The sequence below is a fragment of the Homo sapiens genome, chromosome 1 (assembly GCF_000001405.40).
Source record: "Homo sapiens chromosome 1, GRCh38.p14 Primary Assembly".
NCBI classification, from domain to species: Eukaryota; Metazoa; Chordata; class Mammalia; order Primates; family Hominidae; genus Homo; species Homo sapiens.
The window spans coordinates 83,673,289-83,698,442 of NC_000001.11; the positions used below are offsets into that span (position 1 = coordinate 83,673,289).

Consider the following 25,154-nt stretch of genomic DNA (forward strand, 5'->3'; position numbering starts at 1 on the left):
AAAATAAAGCCACAGCCTCCTTGATGTGAGAGGCACAGCAACCAAGGAGGCAGATGATCTGCCCAGCAGAATCCTCATGTGGTGCAAGGCACAAAGAGGGCTATTAAGAGGGAGGGTAGGAGTGAGAAGAGGGGAAGAGAAGAGGGAGCTAATTTGGAATGGAGCTACCTCTGACCTCACTTTTTCATCCACGTATACAGAATGAGTCAAAGCCACAGATTTCATCCAGTCATAACAAAACTGTAGGCCACTCTCTAAATAAATTGAGCAAATTATCTGAGAAGACTTATGTTGGCTGATGTGAGTTTTTGTGTCTCAGATAAAATTATTGGACATCTTGACACTCATGCTTAGTTTACAGTGTAGTCTGCCAGGTGGCAATCCCTGACCACATATTCAGAACTCCCAGGCAGCTTCTCTGTAGCCTCATTCTTTAATACAAATAGAAAGGCAAGACATTTGAGAAAAGCCAGAAATATGAAGGAGAGCTACCAAGATAATAGAAATAGGAAGAAGAGAAAAACAGAGTCAGCAGAGATAATTTAGGACCTTCAAGGAAGTTTCTCAATACTTTAATTTTTACCGCAGTGATTTGGTATCATAATTGTGTTAGTCTGAGCTGCTACAACAGAATACCATAAACTGGGTGACTGAAATGACAAACAAGTAATGTGATTTCAGAAAGAGAGAACTACATAAAGAAAACAAAGCACAGTGTTTGGGGACACTTGGGTTTTTGTCTTACCAACTGTGAGATTTCCTATACCTTTTTCATTAATTTCTAAAATGTTTTATGTTGGCAATCATAGTTTTAGTTTCCAAAAGCTCCTTCTTATTCTTTTTTCAAGAATACCTGTTTTTGGCTGGGCGCAGTGACTCACGCCTGTAATCCCAGCACTTTGGGAGGCCGAGGCGGGCGGATCCCGAGGTCAGGAGATCAAGACCATCCTGGCTAACACGGTGAAACCCCGTCTCTACTAAAAATACAAAAAAATTAGCTGGGCACGGTGGCGGGCGCCTGTAGTCCCAGCTACTCGGGAGGCTGAGGCAGGAGAATGGCGTGAACCCGGGAGGTGGAGCTTGCAGTGAGCGAAGATTGCACCACTGCACTCCACCCTGGGCAACAGAGTGAGATTCCGTCCCAAAAAAAAAAAAAAAAAAAAAAAAAAAAAAAAAAGGAGAGACAGCGAGGGCTTGCTTTCTCTCTCTCTGTTCCCTAACGCATGAGGATATAAGAAGTCAACCATCTACAAACCCGGGAGAGGGCCCTCATCAGAGCCCAGCCATGACGGTACCCTAAGCTTGAACTTTCAGCCTCCAGAATTAGAAATTTAAGAATTCTAAAAATAGATAGGCTGGCCTAAAAGCAACCCATGGGGTATGAGTAGAGAAAAGTACATTGATTAAAGGAACAACAATTAGACTGATACCAGGCTTTTCATCAGCAACATTGGATTCTGAGCAACAGTAAAGTGGGAAGACATTTTTGCCATTGAGCAGTAGCACATCAGAGTGAAAAACGTGAGCACTGACTCTGCAGCCAGCTGCCCGTGCTCAAATCTGGTTCCTACTTAATAGCCATGTGACCTTGAACAAATAACTTCTTTTTGCCTTAGTTTCCTTCTCTATAAAAGGGAGATTTTAATAACCCCTACTTCAATGTTGCTATTAGAACTAAATGGATTATTTTCATAAAAACACTTAAAACAGAAAATGTTGCAAAGTAAGTCCTACCTAAGTCATTGCTAAATAAATAAAAAACATTCCAGGACATAAGAGGTTTACTTCACTTGTACCCTTTCTTAGGAAATTACTTTAGGATGTATATGAGTCAAAGTAGTGATTTTGTTAGGATGCTTTTGGTAACGGGGAGCAGAATACCCAAGACAAGCTGACATAAAAAGAAGTAAGCCGATTCATTACTTTGCATAATGGTCGGGTTCGGGGAGTAGGCTAGAATTGTGGCGCAATGCAATCAGAGTTCCAGCTGTGCTCCTCAGTGGTTCTCTCAGTCAGTCTTCCCTGGATGTCTCCTCGAGTTGGCTTCTCTCCTGGTTATAAGATGCCTGTGATAAGCATTGGTGGCTACATGATACTTCAGTAACAGCCGGGGGAGGAGTATGACTTGCTTTAAACATTGTCCTAAAGTCATAGGCTTTCCACTGAGTAGGCCACCCTCATGTCCAGGGGGATGCACAGCCTGATTGGGTTAGACCTTTGAAGAGAGTTGGGGACATAGTCCCTAACAATGCCCTCAAATCTGACACCAATTGCAAGTTTGTGAGATTTTCAAGACTACCCTCAGTTTCAATAATTCTCTAGAAGGTCTCACAGAATTAGAGGAAAGCTGTTATATTCATGATTATTACAGGAAAAAGATATAGATTAAAATTAGCCACAGGAAAAGTCCAAGAGAGCTCCAGACTTAGAGCTCACAGTCATTCTCTTCCCATGGAGGCACCGACAGTGTTAACTCCTCTGGCCATGATATGTGACAATACACACAGAGTATTGCCAACCAGGAAAGCTCACCCAAGCCTTTGGTGTCCAGAGATTTTACTGGGGCTCTATCCAACACTGCCTGCATGGCTGAACATTAATTTCCAATCTTTTTAGAGGTCAGGCTGATCTTCAGTCTCTTCACAGGTTGGAACCGATATTAAGTGGCTTAAAGCCCCTTTCATAAATCACATTGCTAGACTGGCTGTCCAGTGGACAAACCCCCCATGCAAACCAAGACACTCCAATCAGGCAGGACATTCCAGGACCTAGAGATTGCTCCCCAGTGGCCAAGCACAAATGTCTTTGGATAAGGTTACTTCTTCACTCCACAACCTTGGTAGAGAACACTGCGAAGAGACTAAGAGGGACAGGATTATTTAGATTGATTTAAACCAATCGGGACCAACTACAGAAACTGGGATTGAAGTCAGTCCCTCTCAAACTGCATGGCTGCCACCCAATGGGGGTGAAGAGGATAAATATGTGAGCAACAATCACAATGACTAATAAGAGAGCAACAATCACAATGACTAATAAGAGAGCAAACCAAGGAGGGAGACGTGGAATCCAGTAAATGGTGCATCCAAGACAGGAGGGCAATGAAGGCAAGATTCAGGATAATGACTTTACAGCAGTGAAGCATGAAGTCCAGCCTGTAGCAAGGAGGTGGATGGTTTTAGAAGCACCAGAGATGAGAAAAAGGGAATGAGATTATTTCTAGAATAGGTAGGGGATCTGAAACATTGGAAGAACTTAGAAGATGAACACAGAGTGTAAGAGCAGAAACTCTGAAAAGGACAAAAAATTTTACAACAAAGGGCTGAAATCATAGCAAAGTGCTGCATTATTCAGCAGTGAATAAATATGTGGACATCATAACATAAATGCCACCAACTGACCTTCAACATTCAGAATCTTCCTTTCCATATATTCAACATGAGATTAATGTTTGACTATAGGACAGAATGCAAATGTTATCAACTTCAATAATGTAAAAAAGTACAGGATTCAGGTGAAAGAGAGAGATGGATATAGAAAGGTATGGAGTCACTAATATCTTTATCTTATGAAGTAGAAAGTCAAGAAAAATTATCTATAATTAGCGGAATAAGAAATAGAGTTTTGAAGGTAACCAACAGAGGAACTAAAGAGTGATATATTTATTCAGAGGAAGTGATGAATAGAGATGGGAATTTAGGTAAGCTAAATATGTAATCATGATAGCAAGAAGCCAATAGGAAATGTCTAAATTAGATACAATATCAAGAAACAATAACCATAAATTTGAAGACATAGGGGTTATTGCTAGAAAACAAACATTGAAAGCATCAAAAGTGGCATCCCAGATAGTGACCATGTAATTTAATATCTCAACTATGATACTTTGGAGTAAAATAATAGCAATAATAATTTACAGTAGGACAAACAAATCAGGATGCCCAGGATGTGTGACCTCCCTAGTTAAAAAGGAATATATATATATTTGAGACAGAGTCTTGCTTCTTTGCCCAGGCTGGAATGCAGTGGTGCAATCTCGGCTCACTGCAACTTCCACCTCCCGGGTTCAAACAGTTCTGCTGCCTCAGACTCCCAGGTAGCTAGGATTACAGGCACGTGCCAGCATGCCCTGCTAATTTTTGTATTAAAAAGGAATATTTTTAAGAGCTCTTTCTTTAGTAAAACCAACAGGACTGTCCTGAGAAACCATGGCAAAGGGGTGTTGGGGACTTTCTCAGCATTCAATATTTTTAACAATAGATATATAAATGCATAGTTTTTTGTATTTCAATAAATAGAAAAATTATTTTAGAAAATAAAAGCAGATGTAGGCCAAGGTGTTAAGGGCTCACTGTGACATCTCCTCCAAAATCTTAGCATTTTAAGAGAGATGCGGTATCTTAAATAGTAGCCATGCTATCTCCAAGTTGAGCTTTAGCTCACAAAATAAACATGACATAAATGTTCACCCATCAATCTTATTCAAAAATAGAAAGAACATTATTTTCATAATTTAAAAATATAAGTATGTTATACCTGAAAAAACTTATGAGAAAGTTTTTGAGATGAAATCCTGGATATTGGAAAAAATTCTTGCTTAGACTAAGGTTTGCTCATTTGCCTCTACTTTTAGATGCACTCTCTTTGGAAAGTTTGCAAATCCCCAAGTGAATGGATTGGAAATGCCTGTGGCAAGATGTTAGAGACAAATTTTAAAATGGGAGAGGAGAATAGGTAATATTCTGTGCACCTGCAGATCCCCCCATCAAGTTTCGTCCTCTAGCTGTTCTGCAGTTCACAATTGATGCCCTCTGTTCCAATGTGAACACAAATAGAGGTCACCCTTTCTGGAATGCCCCACTTACTGAATTTTCCAATTGCTGCTGGACTCCCTGTGAATGGTATAACCACCCAGCCACAAAGCTCTGGGTTACTAACAAAGCAGCAGAATTTCCTTTGCCAGTATGACAGGGAACCTGAATCATAAGGAAAATCTTTCTTTGGGGAAGTGATATGAAAATCAAGACTCCAGGGTGTGGTGTGGAAAGGACTCAGCAGCCTGGGAAGAAGGCACCAGAGACCTGGCATCAGGTCAGCAACTAGGAAGGGCACCCTAGGAAAACCAGGAGCTGACCAGAACACAGAGCCCACTTCTGCTGGGACCTTTCTGTTCCATGTGGGTGGTCACCTTCTCCAATGGAGTCAGTGTTTCCAGCTCGTTACTCCTCTCCCTGTCTGTTTCTCTCTCACCCTCCATCTATCTGCCACCATCTCTCATTTCTGCTCTGCTCCAAGTGCAAGCCTTAGTGTGGATAGACTTTTCCATGTGGTAGAAAATATGCTTGAAAGCAACCCTGGGATTATAATCTTTTAATGTCATAACCTTAGCCAAGGGTACTCACTACCAGTGTTGTTTATAAATCCTTGGGGAAAGATAGCTCAAGTTAGGTAATATGCCCACTTCTTGGGCTGATAACCAAGGTCAGGAGACTTAAGTACTATGATTGATCCTGGTTTTGGGGTAATGGAGCTTGCTACCAGAAAAAGTAGGTTACACCGATACTGCTGTGAGACCAGCAGCCACACCAATTTGAGCATATGTGAAGGCTCTACCATCTTTACATTTAGTTTTGTGTTCCATATTTCATGATATCCATACTCCAACATACAAGTTCAAACAGAAATCAGTTTGAAATAGCTAGATTTATGTTTTCCAAATTTATTGAGGTTGTATGTGTTTAAGGTATACAACGCAATGCTTTGATATAAATATATATTGTGAAAGGATTACCATAATCAAGTTAGTTAATATATTCGTTACCTCACATGGTTACTTTAAATGTACAATGCAGTATTATTAATTATAGTTACCATGTTGTATATTAGATCCCCACTTACGTATTTTATAACTGAAAGTTTGTACCCTTTGACCAACATCTCAATTTCACCACTTCTCAGCCTCTAGCAACTACCATTCTACTCTCTGTTTCTGCGAGTTCAACATTTTTAGATTCCACATATAAGTCATATCATACAGTATTTGTCTTTCTCCTGTCTGACTTATTTCACTTAGCATAATGCCCTCAATATTCATCCATGTTGTCACAAATGGCAGGATTTCCTTCTTTATATGGCTGAATAATACTCCACTGTGTGCATGGATAGGTATGTGTGTGTGTATATACCACATTTTCTTCATTCTTTCATCCATCCTTGGACACTGAGGCTGTTTCCATCTGCTGGTTATTGTGAATAATGCTGCAGTGAACATGGGAGTGCAGATATCTCTTCTGGAATACGTCAAGATATGCATTTCGTTTCCTTTGGATATATACTCAGAAGTGAAATTGCTGGATCATATGGTAAATCTATTTTTAATTTTTTGAAGAATATTCATACTGTTTTTCATAATGGATTTACCAATTTACATTCCCACAAACAATATACAAGAGTTCCCTCTTTTCCACATCCCTGCCAATACTTATTTCTTGTCTTTTTGATAATAGCAATCCTAACAGATGTCAGGTGATACCTCCTTGTGGTTTTGATGTCCATTTCCCTGATAATTAGTAACGTTGAGCACATTTGCACGTACCTGTTGACCATTTGTATGCCTTCTTCAGAAAAAATATCTATTCAGGTCCTTTGCCTATTTGTAATCTGATTATTTGATTTTTTTCTACCAAGCTGTATGAGTCCCTGATACGTTTTGGACAGTAATCTCTAATCAGATACATGATTTGCAAATAATTTCTCCCATTCTGTAGACTGCCTTTTTCATTTTGTTGATTATTTACTTGCTGTGCAAAAGCTTTTTAGTTCAATATAATCCCACTTATTTATTTCTGCTTTTGTAGCCTGAGTTTTTGGTGTGACATCCAAAAAAATCATTGCCAAAGCCAATGTCAAGGAGTCTTCCCCTATGTTTTCTTCTAGGAGTTTCATGGTTTCAAGTGTTATATTTAGGCCTTTTGCCCATTTTGAGTTGATTTTTGTGTGTGGGGTAAGATAAGGGTCCAATTTCATTCTTTTGCATGTGGATATCTAATTTTACCTTCACCATTTATTAAATAGATCATCCTTTTCCCCATTGTGTCTTTTTTGGTGTTCTTGTCAAAAATTAGTTGACCATATATGTTTGGATTTATTTCCAGAGTCTCTATTCTGTTCCACTGGTCTATATGCCCATTTTTATGTCAGTACCATAGATTTTAAAAGGTAGAATTTACTACAGGAATCCTCAGTCTATAGAGTAATTGGAAGAAAGCACCCCCAGCAACTAACTGCATATATTTCAGAAAGATTGACTCAATCTCAATATGAACTATGACTTGTAGGGGTAGATCTCTACCCTTGGTCCAATCACCTGTGTGCAAGGGATCACAGCCTGAGCAAGGCAGCAAAGAAGTACAGAGGTGAAGGGTCTGAAGCCAGAATGGCTCATGGTCATTCAGAATTTTTAAAGTGTTTTCAGTGACCGACAAGAAACTTCTGATTTCATAAAGCAGTTCAACCCATTATTTGTCAATTCTCTTGTTAGAGCTTTAGAGCTAATTCTGTCCTGACTGACCTGAGTAGCTTGGATTGAGCACTGGGTTTCTTGCATACTACTTCTGATTCCACCACTACAGCCACCAGTTTGGGGGTCTATGACCTTTGACAAGTTTCTGAATTTCTATGAGACTCAGTTTCCTCAACTAGAAAACAATATCATAATAGTACCTCTGTCATAGTGTTGTTGTGATGATCAGATGAGATGCACTAACTTAAGCACTCAGTTTAGTGCTGAACACAACATGTTCAAGAAATCACTATTAGTATTTTAATCAGTATTTATTATAATAGATTAAGCTGAGATATGCCTTTTTTGAATTTCTACCTACTGAACCATAAGTCTACTCTCTGTAACGATACAGACTAGGCCTGCTTCTTCTGCACAAAAGCCCTTCAAAAAATTAAAACCAGATATCTTCTCTGTTTATAATATCTGCCTGATGCAGGAAATATGGAAGTTAAGAAAGCAGTCTTGGTCTAGTGGCTTGAGGTCCAATCTTCAATAAGTCATTCACCAGTTATGGGTCCTTAGACAAGTTCTTACTTTCTTCAAATTCAGATTTCTCATCTGGGGACTGAAAATAATTATATATACTTCATAATGTTATTATAAGAGTAACATGAGATAATGCCAGCAGTGTTACATTATTGGAGAGTCCCTTAATAGATAATAAATATTTTTTTCTATTTTTGCCAGGAGAAAAAGAGCCATGGCTTAGTGCTTGGTTGTGGTGGACAGTGATCATTGGATGCATTATGAACCTGATGAAGACAGAAGCAGAGAGCATCAGAATTCTCTTACCTGCAAAATTTACCTATCCTTTGTCTATTCATTCAAGGCTCTGCTCTCTTCTGAAAACATTCTAATGATGGCTGGTTAGTTTAATATGTTTTAACTCCAATTAATATGGCTGCATTTTAACCAGGACATGTATAATGGTAGCTATTACCAGGGTTGGAGCAGGATATTGGAGGAAATAAGAGAGCAGAAGCCTTGGGGCAGACAGAAACAATCACATAACCAACCAGTAGTTCATAAATTAGTGGTTTTCAAACTTTAATGTGTATCAGAGTCACCTGGTTTAGTAGGGCTGGGCAGGATCATCCTCAGGTGATTATGATGGAACCTAAAATTTGAAAGCCAGTGTTGTAGGTTAGTGGTTCTCAACTTTAGTTGTCTATTGGAGTCACCTGTGAAGTTTTAAAACCTGGTAGCCCTGGCCTTATCCACATTGATACTTTCAGTTGGTCTAAGGTGGGATCTAAGCATAAATACGTTTTTAAGTTCCCCCCGAGATTCTGATGTTCAGCCAAATTTGAAAATCACTGATGGGTGTCTTTCTGCAGCTAACTAGGCCAGGATGAGTGATAGGTGGAGAAGAAGATATGCAGTCCTCCAACAGCCTCCCAGATAGCTGGATCCACCTGTCAAAGTCAAACTCCCTTTAGAAAGAATGTTCCACCTCTCTGGGGTAAGTGGCATATTTACAGCCATTTCCTCTGTTCATTGTCAGGCCTGAGACATTGCTGAGTGCTATGGAATAGGTGTCATGCTTCTCTCCAGGTGGGTAAAAATGATTCTGAAATATAATTTTCAGAGTACATGAGGCAGAATGTATTATGTGTGTATAAATTAGTAGTCGCAACAATAATAATGAGGCTTCAGAAAGCACTTACTAAAAATGGTTTGATTTTCAAAGAGGCCAAAATAGTTTAATTTAAGGGTATATTACCACTCAAGTGTAGGGATCTGTTCATGTGGCTTTTATTGATGATAATTGTAGTTTAAACTCTTATTCAGTAGGTGTGGTAATCAAATACTACATTTAAAAGATGACTTAAATACTGGCCCACATATAGGTTGGTCAACATTTTCTTTCCAAGGGTTATTCCCCTGCCATTTAAACGCTAAAGAACTAAAGTCAACTCATTTCAGATTTTTCTAAATCCAAGTCAAAAAGGTTTGCACTTTGTCCTTTATTCCACTTCTTACATTTCTAAGACAGATGAAACAATGATTTTGTTTTGTTTTGTTTTGTTTGTTTATTTATTAAATGTACTATGTTACCTAGATCCTTAAGGACACAAGAAACAATTCTCAAGGTATTGTAAGTGTTATGAATAAGGTGGGAGCAGAACTTCAGGTATTTTTATGATAACAAGATACGAAGTTGGGTAGCCAGGCCTCATAAAAGACTCATAAAAAGCAGAACGAGTTGGCATTGTCGTCAGAGAAAGCATAAAGGAGCTGGCCCTGGTAAGCCAGGAGAGTTTGGGACCAGGTGGTTACTCAGGATCCAGAACCGCTCTAGAAATTGGGTAGTCTCCCCAGGCCTCATTCTGAATGTGGTCATGTGCTTGGAAGCCTCATTGGGCTAGAAAAGTGGGACTGTCCATCCTAGAGATATATGTGGACTGGATGGAAAATCCATGCCAAAGCAAGGCTGTCTTAGGAATCAGCTTCACTCTTCAGCTCCCTCTTTCTCATGGGTCTCTTCTTTCTCTTTTGTCTCCTCTATTGTCCTCTCTGAACTGACTTGCCAACCCAACCAAAAGTAGACTGGTCTGATGGTCTGATTGGTTTGACTAATATTACTGTTGGTATTGGGCTGAGAACTTCACACCAGGGATCTCATGAATCTGCAGATAGGATCCCTGGCTCACTTTTGTCCCTGCATGAAGAATGTACCAGCCCTACTTCCTGAAGCAGAAGGCTGTTAAGGAGATAGTTGCATCTAGAAGGAGAAGTTGGGTACAGCAGGCACCACGTTTGACACACCCTTAAAATCATGAACATTCTTTTACTAATCCTACTACTACTAACCTACTACAAATCCCACTACTACTAACAGCACTCTATTCTGTACATGTTTATAGTTTCTTATTAGTCATGTTCACTACTGCCTCTTTGGCCTACCTGCCTTTTTATCTGTAAGTATTTCATATTTCCTTTCTTGTCAATTGATTTTTTTTTTCATATTTACAGTTCAAACTCTTAACCAAGATCTGGTTGGTCTAGCTTGTCATTATAGACCCTACTTGGCAAAGATCTCTTGTAAGGCTACACTTTAAGTTACTAGTCAACCAATCAATGTGCCCCTTTGGGTCAGGTGTCCTCCCCAATCCAATCAATTGTATCGAAGGTGGGGTACGTTGTCACACAGTCGCCTGTGTGTACCTTAAGATTTCTCATTTTGCTGGCACTATATAGAAGGAACACTCATAAGGCAGCTATAGTAGTCAGCGCTCTTATTTGTGGATCATAGATATACCTAGTTTAAGTTTAGAAAAAGTTTTCATAAAAGATATTAGATAGCTTTCAGAATCTCAGGCAGAACCAAGAAACCCAGGCTTGGATGATATGCCATCAAGACCAGAGCAGCCTAAAAAAAATTTCCAATCACTGAGGACTGTTCTAGAGAAACACCATTGCTGCCAAACCTCCTGCTTGACACCTGGGCCACTTGGTGCTAGCTCCAGAAATTCTACTTTAACTTCCCTAAAGGACCAGATACCTTCATTCCTGGTTTACCTGGTGATCAGGTCTCATGTCCAGCATCTGTTGTCTCATAAGAACTCAATTACTCTTCTAAGTCTCATAAGAAAGCATCTGCAATGGATTGCAAAGCATCTGTAGAGTCATATGTTGAGACTCTAGTCCCAAGGATTAGATGATTTTTTTTATTATACTTTAAGTTTTAGGGTACATGTGCACAACGTGCAGGTTTGTTACATATGTATACATGTGCCATGTTGGTGTGCTGCACCCATTAACTCGTCATTTAACATGAGGTGTATTTCCTAATGCTACCCCTCCCCCCTCCCCCAACCCCACAACAGGCCCTGGTGTGTGATGTTCCCCTTCCTGTGTCCATGTGTTCTCATTGTTCAAGTCCCACCTATGAGTGAGAACATGCGGTGTTTGGTTTTTTTGTCCTTGTGATAGTTTGCTGAGTGTGATGGTTTCCAGCTTCATCCATGTCCCTACAAAGGAAATGAACTCATCATTTTTTATGGCTGCATAGAATTCCATGGTGTATATATGCCACATTTTCTTAATCCAGTCTATCATTTTTGGACATTTAGGTTGGTTTCAAGTCTTTGCTATTGGGAATAGTGCCACAATAAACTTACATGTGCATGTGTCTTTAGAGCAGCATGATTTGTAATCCTTTGGGGATATACCCAGTAATGGGATGGCTGGGTCAAATGGTATTTCCAGTTCTAGATCCCTGAGGAATTGCCACACTGACTTCCACAATGGTTGAACTAGTTTACAGTCCCACCAACAGTGTAAAAGTGTTCCTATTTCTCCACATCCTCTCCAACACCTGTAGTTTCCTGACTTTTTAATGATCCCCATTCTAACTGGTGTGAGATGGTATCTTATTGTGGTTTTGATTTGCATTTCTCTGATGGCCAGTGATGACGAGCATTTTTTCTTGTGTCTTTTGACTGCATAAATGTCTTCTTTTGAGAAGTGTCTGTTCATATCCTTCGCCCACTTGTTGATGGGGTTGTTTGTTTTTTTCATGTAAATTTGTTTGAGTTCATTGTAGATTCTGGATATTAGCCCTTTGTCAGATGAGTAGTTGCTAAAATTTTCTCCCATTCTGTAGGTTGCCTGTTCGCTCTGATGGTAGTTCCTTTTGCTGTGCAGAAGCTCTTCAGTTTAATTAGATCCCATTTGTCAATTTTGGCTTTTGTTGCCATTGCTTTTGGTGTTTTAGACATGAAGTCCTTGCCCATGCCTATGTCCTGAATGGTATTGCCTAGGTTTTCTTCCAGGGTTTTTATGGTTTTAGGTCTAACATTTAAGTCTTTAATTCATCTTGAATTAATTTTTGCATAAGGTGTAAGGAAGAGATCCAGTTTCAGCTTTCTACATATGGCTAGCCAGTTTTCCCAGCACCATTTATTAAATAGGGAATCCTTTCCCCATTTCTTGTTTTTGTCAGGTTTGTCAAAGATCAGATAGTTGTAGACATGCGGCATTATTTCTGAGGACTCTGTTCTCTTCCATTGGTCTATATCTCGGTTTTGGTACCAGTACCTTGCTGTTTGGGTTACTGTAGCCTTGTAGTATAATTTGAAGTCAGGTAGAGTGATGCCTCCAGCCTTGTTCTTTTGGCTTAGGATTGACTTGGCGATTCGGGCTCTTTTTTGGTTCCATATGAACTTTAAAGTAGTTTTTTCCAATTCTGTGAAGAAAGTCATTGGTATCTTGATGGGGATGGCACTGAATCTATAAATTACCTTGGGCAGTAGGGCCTTTTTCATGATATTGATTCTTCCTACCCATGAGCATGGAATGTTCTTCCATTTGTTTGTATCCTCTTTTATTTCATTGAGCAGTAGTTTGTAGTTCTCCTTGAAGAGGTCCTTCACATCCCTTGTAAGTTGGATTCCTAGGTATTTTATTCTCTTTGAAGCAATTGTGAATGGGAGTTTACTCATGATTTGACTCTGTGTTTGTCTTTTATTGGTGTATAAGAATGCTTGTGATTTTTGCACATTGATTTTGTATCCTGAGACTTTGCTGAAGTTGCCTATCAGCTTAAGGAGATTTTGGGCTGAGATGATGGGGTTTTCTAGATATACAATCATGTCATCTGCAAACAGGGACAATTTGACTTCCTCTTTTCCTAATTGAATGCCCTTTATTTCCTTCTCCTGCCTGATTGCCCTGGCCAGAACTTCCAACACTATGTTGAATAGGAGTGGTGAGAGAGGGCATCCCTGTCTTGTGCCAGTTTTCAAAGGGAATGCTTCCAGTTTTTGCCCATTCAGTATGATATTGGCTGTGGGTTTGTTATAGCTAGCTCTTATTATTTTGAGATACGTCCCATCAATACCTAATTTATTGAGAGTTTTTAGCATGAAGGGTTGTTAAATTTTGTCAAAGGCCTTTTCTGCATCTATTGAGATAATCATGTGGTTTTTGTCGTTGGTTCTGTTTATATGCTGGATTACGTTTATTGATTTGCATATGTTGAACCAGCCTTGCATCCCAGGGATGAAGCCCACTTGATCATGGTGGATAAGCTTTTGGATGTGCTGCTGGATTTGGTTTGCCAGTATTTTATTGAGGATTTTTGCATTGATGTTCATCATGGATATTGGTCTAAAATTCTCTTTTTTTGTTGTGTCTCTGCTGGGCTTTGGTATCAGGATGATGCTGGCCTCATAAAATGAGTTAGGGAGGATTCCCTCTTTTTCTATTGATTGGAATAGTTTCAGAAGGAATGGTACCAGCTCCTCCTTGTACCTCTGGTAGAATTTGGCTGTGAATCCATCTGGTCCTGTACTTTTTTTGGTTGGTAAGCTATTAATTATTGCCTCAATTTCAGAGCCTGTTATTGGTCTATTCAGAGATTCAACTTCCTGGCTTAGTCTTGGGAGGGTGTATGTGTCGAGGAATTTATCCATTTCTTCTAGATTTTCCAGTTTATTTGCATAGAGGTGTTTGTAGTATTCTCTGATGGTAGTTTGTATTTCTGTGGGATCAGTGGTGATATCCGCTTTATCATTTTTTATTCCATCTATTTGATTCTTCTCTCTTTTCTTCTTTATTAGTCTTTCTAGTGGTCTATCAATGTTGTTGATCTTAAAAAACCAGCTCCTGGATTCCTTGATTTTTTGAAGGGTTTTTTGTATCTCTATTTCCTACAGTTCTGCTCTGATCTTAGTTATTTCTTGCCTTCTGCTAGCTTTTGAATGTGTTTGCTTTGCTTCTCTAATTCTTTTAATTGTGATGTTAGGGTGTCAATTTTAGATCTTTCCTGCTTTCTCTTGTGGGCATTTAGTGCTATAAATTTCCCTCTACACACTGCTTTGAATGTGTCCCAGAGATTCTGGTATGTTGTGTCTTTGTTCTCATTGGTTTCAAAGAACATCTTTATTTCTGCCTTCATTTCGTTATGTACCCAGTAGTCATTCAGGAGCAGGTTGTTCAGTTTCCATGAAGTTGAGCGGTTTTGAGTGAGTTTCTTAATCCTGAGCTCTAGTTTGATTGCACTGTGGTCTAAGAGACAGTTTGTTATAATTTCTGTTCTTTTACATTTGCTGAGGAGTGCTTTACTTGCAAGTATGTGGTCAATTTTGGAATAGGTGTGGTGTGGTGCTGAAAAGAATGTATATTCTGTTGATTTGGGGTGGAGGGTTCTGTAGATGTCTATTATGTCTGCTTGGTGCAGAGCTGAGTTCAATTCCTGGATATCCTTGTTAACTTTCAGTCTCGTTGATCTGTCTAATGCTGACAGTGGGGTGTTAAAGTCTCCCATTATTATTGTGTGGGAGTCTAAGTCTCTTTGTAGGTCTCTAAGGACTTGCTTTATGAATCTGGGTGCTCCTGTATTGGGTGCATATATATTTAGGATGGTTAGCTCTTCTTGTTGAATTGATCCCTTTACCATTATGTAATGGCCTTCTTTGTCTCTTTTGATATTTGTTGCTTTAAAGTCTGTTTTATCAGAGACTAGGATTGCAACCCCTGCCTCTTTTTGTTTTCCATTTGCTTGGTAGATCTTCCTCCATCCCTTTATTTTGAGCCTATGTGTGTCTCTGCACATGAGATGGGTTTCCTGAATACAGCACACTGATGGGTCTTGACTCTTTATCCAATTTGCCAGTCTGTGTCTTTTAATTGGAGAATTTAGCCCATTTACATTTAAGGTTAATATTGTTATTTGTGAATTTGATCCTGTCATTATGATGTTAGCTGGTTATTTTGCTCGTTAGTTGATGCAGTTTCTTCCTTGCCTCGATGGTCTTTACAATTTGGCATGTTTTTGCAGTGGCTGGTACTGGTTGTTCCTTTCCACGTTTAGTGCTTCCTTCAGGAGCTCTTGTAGGGCAGGCCTGGTGGTGAAAAAATCTCTCACCTTTTGTTTGTCTGTAAAGTATTTTATTTCTCCTTCACTTATGAAGCTTAGTTTGGCTGGATATTAAAATCTGGGTTGAAAATTCTTTTCTTTAAGAATGTCGAATATTGGCCCCCACTCTCTTCTGGCTTGTAGAGTTTCTGCCAAGAGATCAGCTGTTAGTCTGATGGGCTTCCCTTTCTCTCTGGCTGCCCTTAACATTTTTTCCTTCATTTCAACTTTTGTGAATCTGACAATTATGTGTCTTGGAGTTGCTCTTCTCAAGGAGTATCTTTGTGACGTTCTCTGTATTTCCCAAATTTGAATGTTGGCCTGCCTTGCTAGATTGGGGAAGTTCTCCTGGATAATATCCTGCAGAGTGTTTTCCAGCTTGGTTCCATTCTCCCCGTCACTTTCAGGTACACCAATCAGACGTAGATTTGGTCTTTTCACATAGTCCCATATTTCTTGGAGGCTTTGTTCATTTCTTTTTATTCTTTTTTCTCTAAACTTCTCTTCTCACTTCATTTCATTCATTTGATCTTCCATCAGTGATACCCTTTCTTCCAGTTGATTGAATCGGCTACTGAGGCTTGTGCATTCGTCACGTAGTTCTCGTGCCATGGTTTTCAGCTCCATCAGGTCCTTTAAGGACTTCTCTGCATTGGTTATTCTCGTTAGCCATTCGTCTAATTTTTTTTCAAGATTTTTAACTTCTTTGCCATGGGTTCGAACTTCCTCCTTTAGCTCGGGGTAGTTTGATCGTCTGAAGCCTTCTTCTCTCAACTCGTCAAAGTCATTCTCCGTCCAGCTTTATTCCGTTGCAGTTGAGGAGCTGCGTTCCTCAGTTGGAAATGCAGCGTCTTCTGCGTCGCTCACGCTGGGAGCTGTAGACTGGAGCTGTTCCTATTCGGCCATCTTGGCTCCTCCCTCGGATTAGATGGCATTGATGGCATTTGGAGAAGGGGCCTTTGGGAAGTAATTAGGGCATGAGAGTGGAGCCCTTCTGAATGGGATTCATGCCCTTAGAAGAAGAGACCAGAGAGCTAGCTAGTTATCTTTCTGCCATGTGAGGACATAGCAAGAAGATGGCTACCTTTAAACCAGAGAGAGGACCCTCACCAAGACGGTGTGGACACCCTGATCTTATATTTCCAACCTCCAAACTTTGAGAAATAAATGTTTGTTGTTTAAACCACCCTGTAGGTGGTATTATAGTAGCCTGAACTGATTAACATGGCATCTATTCGGCAGAAATTAGATCATGTGTAAAATTTTAGCTACAAAGGATTTGGGGAAATGTGAAGTTTGTTTTCTAGCCCTTGTGGTTTATGAATCAAGCTAGGCAACCGTTCAAAATGGGTTCTGAAAGGACCAAAATAAAGACTGTCACAGGGGAATTCTGAGATTTTAACATTCCCATGTCTCTCATGCAGTCTTTAAAGAACACTGTGAAGAATGCCATATATGGGTAAACAGTTGTCCTTATTTGGGTAATACGGAGGTACCCTCTTGCTGGTTTTTTTTCTAAAAAAATGTGGGCTCTCTCAATCAGCCAAGTTAAACTTCTGGTTCACCTATTTCTTTCTACATCCTTTTGCTGAAATCTTTCTTCCATTCTTGGAAATCTCTCCTATTCTTCACCACAAATATGCATGCAACCCCAAATTCCAAGAGCCAGCTTATACCTCACTGACTTCAAGGTGCCTGCCTTCCCTAAGTCATGCTATCATATTGTGATCACATCTTCAGTGCAAAACTGTCTTCCCCCTCAAGGAGTGTGATACGGTTTGGCTCTGTGTTCCCACTCAAATCTCACACTGAATTGCAATTCCTTCCCAGTGTTGGGGGAGGGATGAGGTGGGAGGTGATTTGATCATGGGGCAGATTTCCCCCTTGCTGTTCTCACGATAGTGAGTGAGTTCTCAGGAGATCTGGTTGTTTAAAAGTGTGTAGCACTTCCCCTTTAGCTCTCTCTCATGCTCCACTACATAAAGATGTGCCTGTTTTCCCTTCGCCTTCTGACATGATTGTAAGTTTCCTGAGGCCTCCTCAGCCACACTTCCTGTACAGCCTGTGGAACTATAAGTCAATCAAATTTGTTTTCTTCATAAATTACCCAGTCTCAGGTAGTTCTTTATAGCAATGTGTGAACAAACTAATGCAGAGTGATATTGGATTTTTGAGAATTTGCCCTCCTTCACATACATGTTGTATTGTTTTTGCTATCACTCCCACAATGGAGTGGCATGTAGTACTCATAGAATATAGATACTTAGCAAATAAATACGGCTGATTTTAACTGAAGCAAGGAAGAGAAATCTCTTCTGTAACTAATAGGAAATTAGAAGGTTTCCACTGACCTGAAATCAAATCATTCAGTCCAAATAGAAATCTTCCATATGTCTTAGAAACCTGGGGAAATGGGCTTATTATTTATAAATTTGCAGTATTTCACAAATGCACAGTAAATTTCAGCTTATAATTAAACAATCATAAGAGAATTTCTTCACCAATATATTTGTTCACTCTTTAACATTTGTACTTGACCTCCCTACCTCTTACAGCAAATTTATATGTTTAAATAATTTAATTTTAAAATTAAATAATAAATAGCAGAAAAATTCTTTGAAGGATTTACCTGTACTCAGTGTCTAATTCCTCTCCTCCAATCATTAGTCAAGTTAGTTGGAGGAATGCGGCTGCCTTTTCATCAAGTTCCTGATAACATTCAGGTCTATGAAAGGGAAGGGGTGTGTAGGGGGATGAGAAGCCGGTGTGGGGAAGGCAGCAGGATACAGCTATTTATGAGCCTGGGCACACTTGGAAAACAGTCTCATGCATGACCTTACAGCCAACACTCTTATGGGGAGCACTTATGACACTCATCAGTGTCTCATTTATGACAGTACCACTGAGGAATATCAGTACGTTCAACTCTTTCATCAAACTCTTTCCATCAAACTGTTAAACTGAAGGTATGTTCAAACCTTTCATCAAACTGCAGAAGAAAAACCATATGTATGGAGAAATAAGTGACTAAATTCAACTAAAGTAAGTACAATGAAGACATAGACAACACCATCTATTAATGTATTCTGTCCATGGCACCTAGTATAAAAACATGTATTAGGTGATCAGTGCATATTGATTGGGTCATGAATATAAAATTCATTGTTTCCATTCAGAAATTGGAAAACATTCTCCATAAACGCGGATGAACAGTAGAAAGTCATCCAACATGATCCCATTCATGCATCTCTCATGCATATGCATCCTCACTAACTCTTTCTGCTGTCATTGCTAACCTGGGACCCCCACTCCCACCCCTCCTTCTCCAAGCCAGACGCACCTGCTACCCTGGGCACTCACTGCTGCTGCCATGTCTTGCTGTGTAATGCCATTGTCAACCTCCCTGCCTGGTGTGCGTGCCATTCTCCTTCACCGGAGGAAGGAATGTTTAATTATTTTTAATCAGTGGACATGGCATCTTGCTAGACAGCGACACTTGGGGGATCCAACACCATCTGCCTTCCACCAGGCGCCAGCTGCTCTGGTAGATGTCGGTAGAACACCTTAGGACATAGCCTTCTGCTGCCAGGTGCCTACAAGCGGCTGCCACTCGGCACCATCTCCAACATGAGCTGCCACTTGGGCTCATTCCCTGTCATGGTTTGCCTCTCATCCCTGCACTCTTTCAGGCAGGTTCTCCACAGCCCCAGCTCCCAGAACATTTCCCAAACAACCCAGTAGCCTGCCAGTAATCATAGGGTCCAAACATAAATGTTACCCTAACCCAAATGGCCACGGATCTTTCCATCACCATTAGTCAACCTAATGGATCTGCTGACTTCAGTCCCACAGAGAACGGCCACTGACTTCACAGCAGGCAGACCCATGGAGAGCAAGGGTCAGCCAGCTACTGAGCATTTAAAACAGTGGGGAAGGAAAAGGGGAGGGAAATGCCTCTCAGATAAATCACCGGAGCTGTCTGGGGTGAGCAGTGCCCGTGGTAAGTGAGCTCCTGCAAGTTCCTGTCACAGACCTGTCCCTTCCACCTCCTACCCTTAAGGCAGTTCCTGCAGCTCTCACAGCTGTGCCCACACTTTCACTCCTGCAAAGAACGTCTCATTGGCTTCAATTGCTTTAGCGGCTCAGCGTGGTCCCTGTCGGGAGCACTTGTCACCTCCTTCCCAAGCAGCCCGCTTGACACCCAACCTAATTCCTACTTGGTGAACCAAGCCCCCAAGGTTCCTTTCACCCCCACCCCTGCCCCCCATTTTGTGAAGAGCCAAATTCAGCAGCTCCAATCTCAGCTTTATTTTCATGCAAAGTGAAAGAGCTCAGCCACCCGGCACTGGCTGAAGGGTAGATAAAAGCCCCAGCTGTGCCTGCTCTGGGAGTCACTTTCACCTCCAGCAGGAAAGCAAACTGTTTTTGTGCCTGAGGGAAATTATGGAGCCTCACACTTTCATCCAGAGACGGACAAAGGGGAGGTCAGGTGCTGCATCTGCCAGAAATGGGGACGTGTGAAATGTGATTAACCCAAGGAGAAGCCACACAGAGCCCGGCTGGGGCCTCTCCTGTCCCTGTGTGTTTCCCAGTGTCAGAAGCAGGCAGAAGAGTAAACAAAAGCATTAAATAAATATTTTTCCGTTTAACCCATGTGTTAATACAGATTTTTACAACCTCGACAGCACTGACTGAATCAATAGTTGCAAGTATTAGCCTGAATAATGAAGGAAGTAGTGTACATCTGTTGATTTCTCTGCATTTGTGAAAAGAAGGGGGGTGGGGGGGTGAGGAGGGGAAGAGATTCCAGAATGAGCGTGTAATCACATTGTACCCTGCCTGTCCGCAGCACAGCTAAGCCTATCGGGCCCATCAGATGAACTCGCTAATGCTATTTCTCAGGCTAAATACAAACCGCTGGTGCCTGTAGAATTAAACTCATCAATAGCTAAGCTCTCCTGCATTTACAGGAAGACACAAATAAAATTCCTACTGATATGCCCATCAGAGTGGGAAGTTATCTGTCTCTTTCGAACAGACTTTCTGTAAGAGCTCTGTGTGGTAAATGAAGCTACCAGTACATTTGTCTCTTTGTCAAAATAAATAATGCCAATTTCATTTTTGAACAGTGTGCTTGGGCTGTATTCATTATTGTGTTAGGGTTTTGTTTCCGCCAAAACAGCCCTCCCCAGCCCTGCTGCTTGGACAACTTGTCTCTGATTAGGGATGTGTGCTGAAAACGGAAACTGTTTGAAATTAACTAGAGACGTATTAAATAATCACAAAAGAAATTCCGGTAAAAAATAGAGTCAGTTATCAAAAGATTAACACGGTTCTTTGTTCCGTTTTTTTTTTTTTTTTTAGACAGGGAGGGGAAGCAATTTTCAAGACAGACACCAATGCTTTAAAAGGATTTTTCAGAGGTGAATTACTTAATCCTTCGTGACTAAGGAAATCTTTGTGTGCACTACAGAGGATGGGAGCAAAGCAGGAAAAAATGTACAATATTGAAAAGTGAAAATATAATATTTGGCACACTGCAAACATATAAGTTAGAAGGCCTGTGAGGTGTTTGATACCTGCATCAAATCTTGATTCCTCTCCTATAGGAAGAAGAGGCAGATATTTTCTCGAATATTCCTAAAGGATTAACATAATCAGCTATTGAGTGCCACTGCAGCTACTTCACAAAAATGTAGTTAAGGCGGCACTTATCTGGCAGTGGGAAACTCAGCTCTGAGAGAAGGCACTTCATATATTAAGGCTTTAAATGGTATTTTTTAGGGCACTCTTCACTAAGCAAGAGCTGCTCTGGAGGTTGAGAGGGGTGTAGCATCCACAGGGCTATTCAGCTCAGTGGAGCCAGGCATAGGAGAATCTCCCTGTGCCTGCACAGGGCTACCAGAGAAGGCTGAGAAGCAGTTCACCTCCAAGGAAGTTCCCATCTGATTCTGTGGAGGGAGGGACTGGTTGAAAGGCACAGAACCCAGACTTCCAGAAAAGCCAGCTCAAAATAGGATTAACCTTTGTTAAAGGAGGGCTGTGAATTGCTAATACCCTTTAAAACCTGGATGTGCCCATGTCTCTGGGGAAACTTCTCCTGATGAGGTAAGCCAAATTGTTCCTGATCAATATCTTCTTTTTCTGTATGACTTAACTCCAGCCACGGAGATTTTAAGGGGCCTTTGCACCAGCCAGAGCTCTCTCAAGCAGGTGAATCAATTGGGTTGCTTTAGTACAGAAGGCTGAAAGGGCTAGTCCCCATGAGAAGGTCAAGTTAGTCTCTCAGGTGGGCTGATGGGCCACAATGGGGCAGAGACAGGAAAATCAGAGGACTTGGGCTGAGCCAGGTAGGTTTGGAGTGGAGAGAAGCATGTCCTTAGGAACAGAGATTTGTACTTGAACTAGCTTTAAAAGTTTGACTACTTTCCTTCTACTCATTTTATGAGCAATATATATTCTGAGTGATCATCATACATATTCTGTAATTTTTCACTTAGAAAAATAGCTTTTGCATTTCATACAGCTTCTAATTCCAAAATTAGTTCAACATCTAGCAGTGAATGTAGAAATATATACCCCTTTTGGAGACATACTTAGGGCTGGTATTGATTTATGCTGTACCATGATTTTAGTCTTATGGGATAATCACCTTGTCAAGGCTATATTTATTGTTGTGGCTATTAAATCACATTAATTCCTTGGCGATTACATGAGATAAAGCATCCACAAACTGCAGCAGTGACAGAATTCAGTTTTTCTCCCTAAATAAACTCAATACAAAGATAGCCATGTCCTAGTTTTTCAATGGCATTCCAACTTTTTTTTTTTTTTGCATATCTTACTGAGCATTAGAGTTGCAGCTTGTGCTTTGCCACAGATTTGAACTCTGGTGTAAAAGCCCCTTGAGGGAGAAGAAGAATCATGGAGACAAGTGCTAATGGCAACACCGCACAGAAGCAAATTGCCTATCAAATAGGACAACTTAGTGTCACAGAAACATTTGCAGGGGAGAAAAAAGGAGGAAGCAGAAATGATTCAATACTGGCTGCCCTTGATTAGGTTGCTTTCAGTAAATTTGTATGGAAATGTAAATTATCTCTAGTACATGAGGAGTTTACAATAACATTGTCTAGACCTAACTTTTCTTAAAACTCCCATGGTGGTGAGAAAATTAGGGTCGTGCTGTGAAGGAGTTTCTTACATTGGAATATGCATGGATAAGATTCTTTTGAAAATGGGCATGATGAAGCCCATGCCAGATTCACCCTGGATACAAAAGCTGATGTCAATGTTTGGTAGACCCAATGTGGGCTAGCCAGTGCCCCTGCAGACCCTCCAGAATTTGATGCCTCCCCTGAGGGGCAAGTCCTTCCTTGTTTCTACTCATGATCCAGCCTTATCATACTTAGAAACATACCTAAGAATACTGGCATCTGACAAAAACACATCTAGGTGAAGGTTGCCCACTCTGGGATCTTTTGAAAAGATTCTGCTTGTTTCGTATTTTTAATAAAGGGTCAGATAGGACTTCATCCAAACTTATTTGCCTTTTCTTCCTTGCATTTGATTCTGGTTATTAATTTGGGGCAGGTTTTTTAGCTTGATTGAAGCCGATGTCTGTGACCAAAAGTCTTGCTTGTATGCCTCTCATGTACTTCATTTTTATGAATCCCAAATACCTTTTATCTGCAACCCATACCTTAGAAGGAGTCCCCAGACCAATGAGGAAAGAGAGAATAATGAGGAACAGGAACTGTGCACAAAGCTTGCTCTAGGCTCTGTTATTGGTTCATTTTGGACCAGTGAACTGGATCATACTTAATGATGCAGTAAGTTTGGACTCCAGTAGAAATGATAATAAATGACTTTTAAAATGTAGATGCCTCCACCATAAGAACAGATTAAAACAGTCCCAGAAATTGAAAAAAAAAAAAAAACTCTTTGGCCCATCATGGGTTTTGTAAGAAAATGAATAGCTGGTACCTCATGCAGCCAGTTCCTATTTAATTGGTTTCTGTTTTTGTATTTCTTTACTTTTCTTTACATTTCTTTTCTTTTAAAAAGAACCATGGTACACCTGAACTGTGGGATATGTGCTTTTGTTCTGCCTTCTGATATATCCAGCGAAGAGGCAGAACCAGCCTTGAAGAGCTCTGCGTCTCCCTGAATGCACCTATCTTGATAGTAAACTGCTTTTCCTTCAGCACCACCCAACATACCCATTTCCACCTCCCCTTTAATCTGCTTTGCCCAGACATTTCCTCCAGGTTACCTCTCCACTTCCAGCTATCACTCCTTCAGGCTTTCAATACACACTTTTACAGTTGTCCTAACTCCAGGGACTTTTCTTCCCTCTTTAATTTTACAATAGATGTGTTACTGAGCTGTCTATCTGAATAGAAAAACCCTAAAACAGATTTCCCCACCAGCATGCTTCATAGAGTGGATGTAGCTTTTTATACTTATTATTCTCACCTACATAGTCATATTAGGAAATAGATTAAAATAAATTTCCCCATGTGTTGTACTTGGGCCTGGTCTGCTCCAAAACCCCTTCTAAATTATTGACTTTAGAGAAGGTAGAAGATGTTTGTTCATTTCTCTGTCTTCCCTGCCTGCTCATTCTCCCCTCTCTTTAAAACCTGACCCTCTCATTTTCCCCTAACCTTTCTCTTCCGTGGTCTCTTGGGGGTGATATGGTCCTTCCCCTACTTAATAATCTTTTCCCCCTGTGGCCAAAAGCAGATCGTAATGCACTGCTCTGGCAGACTGTATCTCTTAATCTTTCTCTCACCTAGTTTTACATTTTCTCTTGGTACTCAAGTTTTCCAGGAATTCCATGAAACTTTCATTCAAGCTGTTCAAGTGTATATTCCTCCAGTCTGCCAAAAGGCCCTCTCTAGGTGGGTTTTCCCCAAGTCTCCAAGTACTTTTGCTAATGAAGCTGCTGAACGAGAGCTAATTTATCACTGTGTTATCACTATATTAGGGCATAAGAGAGCCATACCTGGAATGAATTATGGATCCATCCAGTGTCCCATGCATCCTGTACATCAAGGTAAGCAAATGCTGCATTGTGTTAACTGTCAGCCTCTGAAACAGCTGACATTTGTTATTTTAATTAATAGTTTACTTTGCTGAAATAAGCTTCTGTGAGAAGCTATGACTTTTTATTAAATCTTCACTGCAGCATTGTTTTCCCCAGATTGGGAGACAAAAGCTAATTTTCAAAACTGCTTTATCCTGCAAGGTCACAGTCAACAGCTTGTGTGCACATGTCAGGGAAACATCTGCTTCTGTGCCACAGATATAAGTAAAATTTGCTTTATTTTGAAATTTAAATTTACTTTTACTTGGGGAAAAATGATGAGTTAGTCATTAAAGAGCTATTAAGTGATGTTGATTAGGAAAGACTTTTTAACCAGTCATTTTGTCTCACAACCAATGCTGAAATTTCTCCAACCTCAGCATTCTGCTTAGACATCACAGGGAACTGTGGTCACTGGCACATCTGGATCTGGACCAACTTGTCTTTTCATTAATGTAAATCATTATGATGTAATTACTCAGCCTGCAATGTAGAGATCATTGATTTCTTTTGCCCAGTAGCAGTACTTTTAAGTCACTGATGACAAAGGGAACTTTCAGGACAATCCAAACTATACAAATTAGCTCCAGTTCAAGAAAGGCAAACTTATTTAAAAGGTTCCAACACTAAATTTC

General features: G+C 40.4%; 1 long non-coding RNA gene across 1 annotated transcript in view, besides 2 other annotated features; it reads right to left on the reverse strand.

Moving 5' to 3' along the window:
- The window catches only part of LINC01725 (long intergenic non-protein coding RNA 1725), a 285,210-nt gene that overhangs the window by 97,502 nt on the left and 162,554 nt on the right, over nucleotides 1-25,154 (reverse strand). The window lies entirely within an intron of this gene.
- Nucleotides 18,984-19,518: an enhancer, noted in NCBI's record as "NANOG-H3K27ac-H3K4me1 hESC enhancer chr1:84157955-84158489 (GRCh37/hg19 assembly coordinates)". NCBI's record gives its function as "activates a minimal SCP1, AML or CMV promoter by ChIP-STARR-seq in primed H9 embryonic stem cells {active_cell/tissue: H9 hESC(primed)}" and the evidence as "EXISTENCE:reporter gene assay evidence [ECO:0000049][PMID:30033119]".
- Nucleotides 19,519-20,054: an enhancer, noted in NCBI's record as "OCT4-NANOG-H3K27ac hESC enhancer chr1:84158490-84159025 (GRCh37/hg19 assembly coordinates)". NCBI's record gives its function as "activates a minimal SCP1, AML or CMV promoter by ChIP-STARR-seq in primed H9 embryonic stem cells {active_cell/tissue: H9 hESC(primed)}" and the evidence as "EXISTENCE:reporter gene assay evidence [ECO:0000049][PMID:30033119]".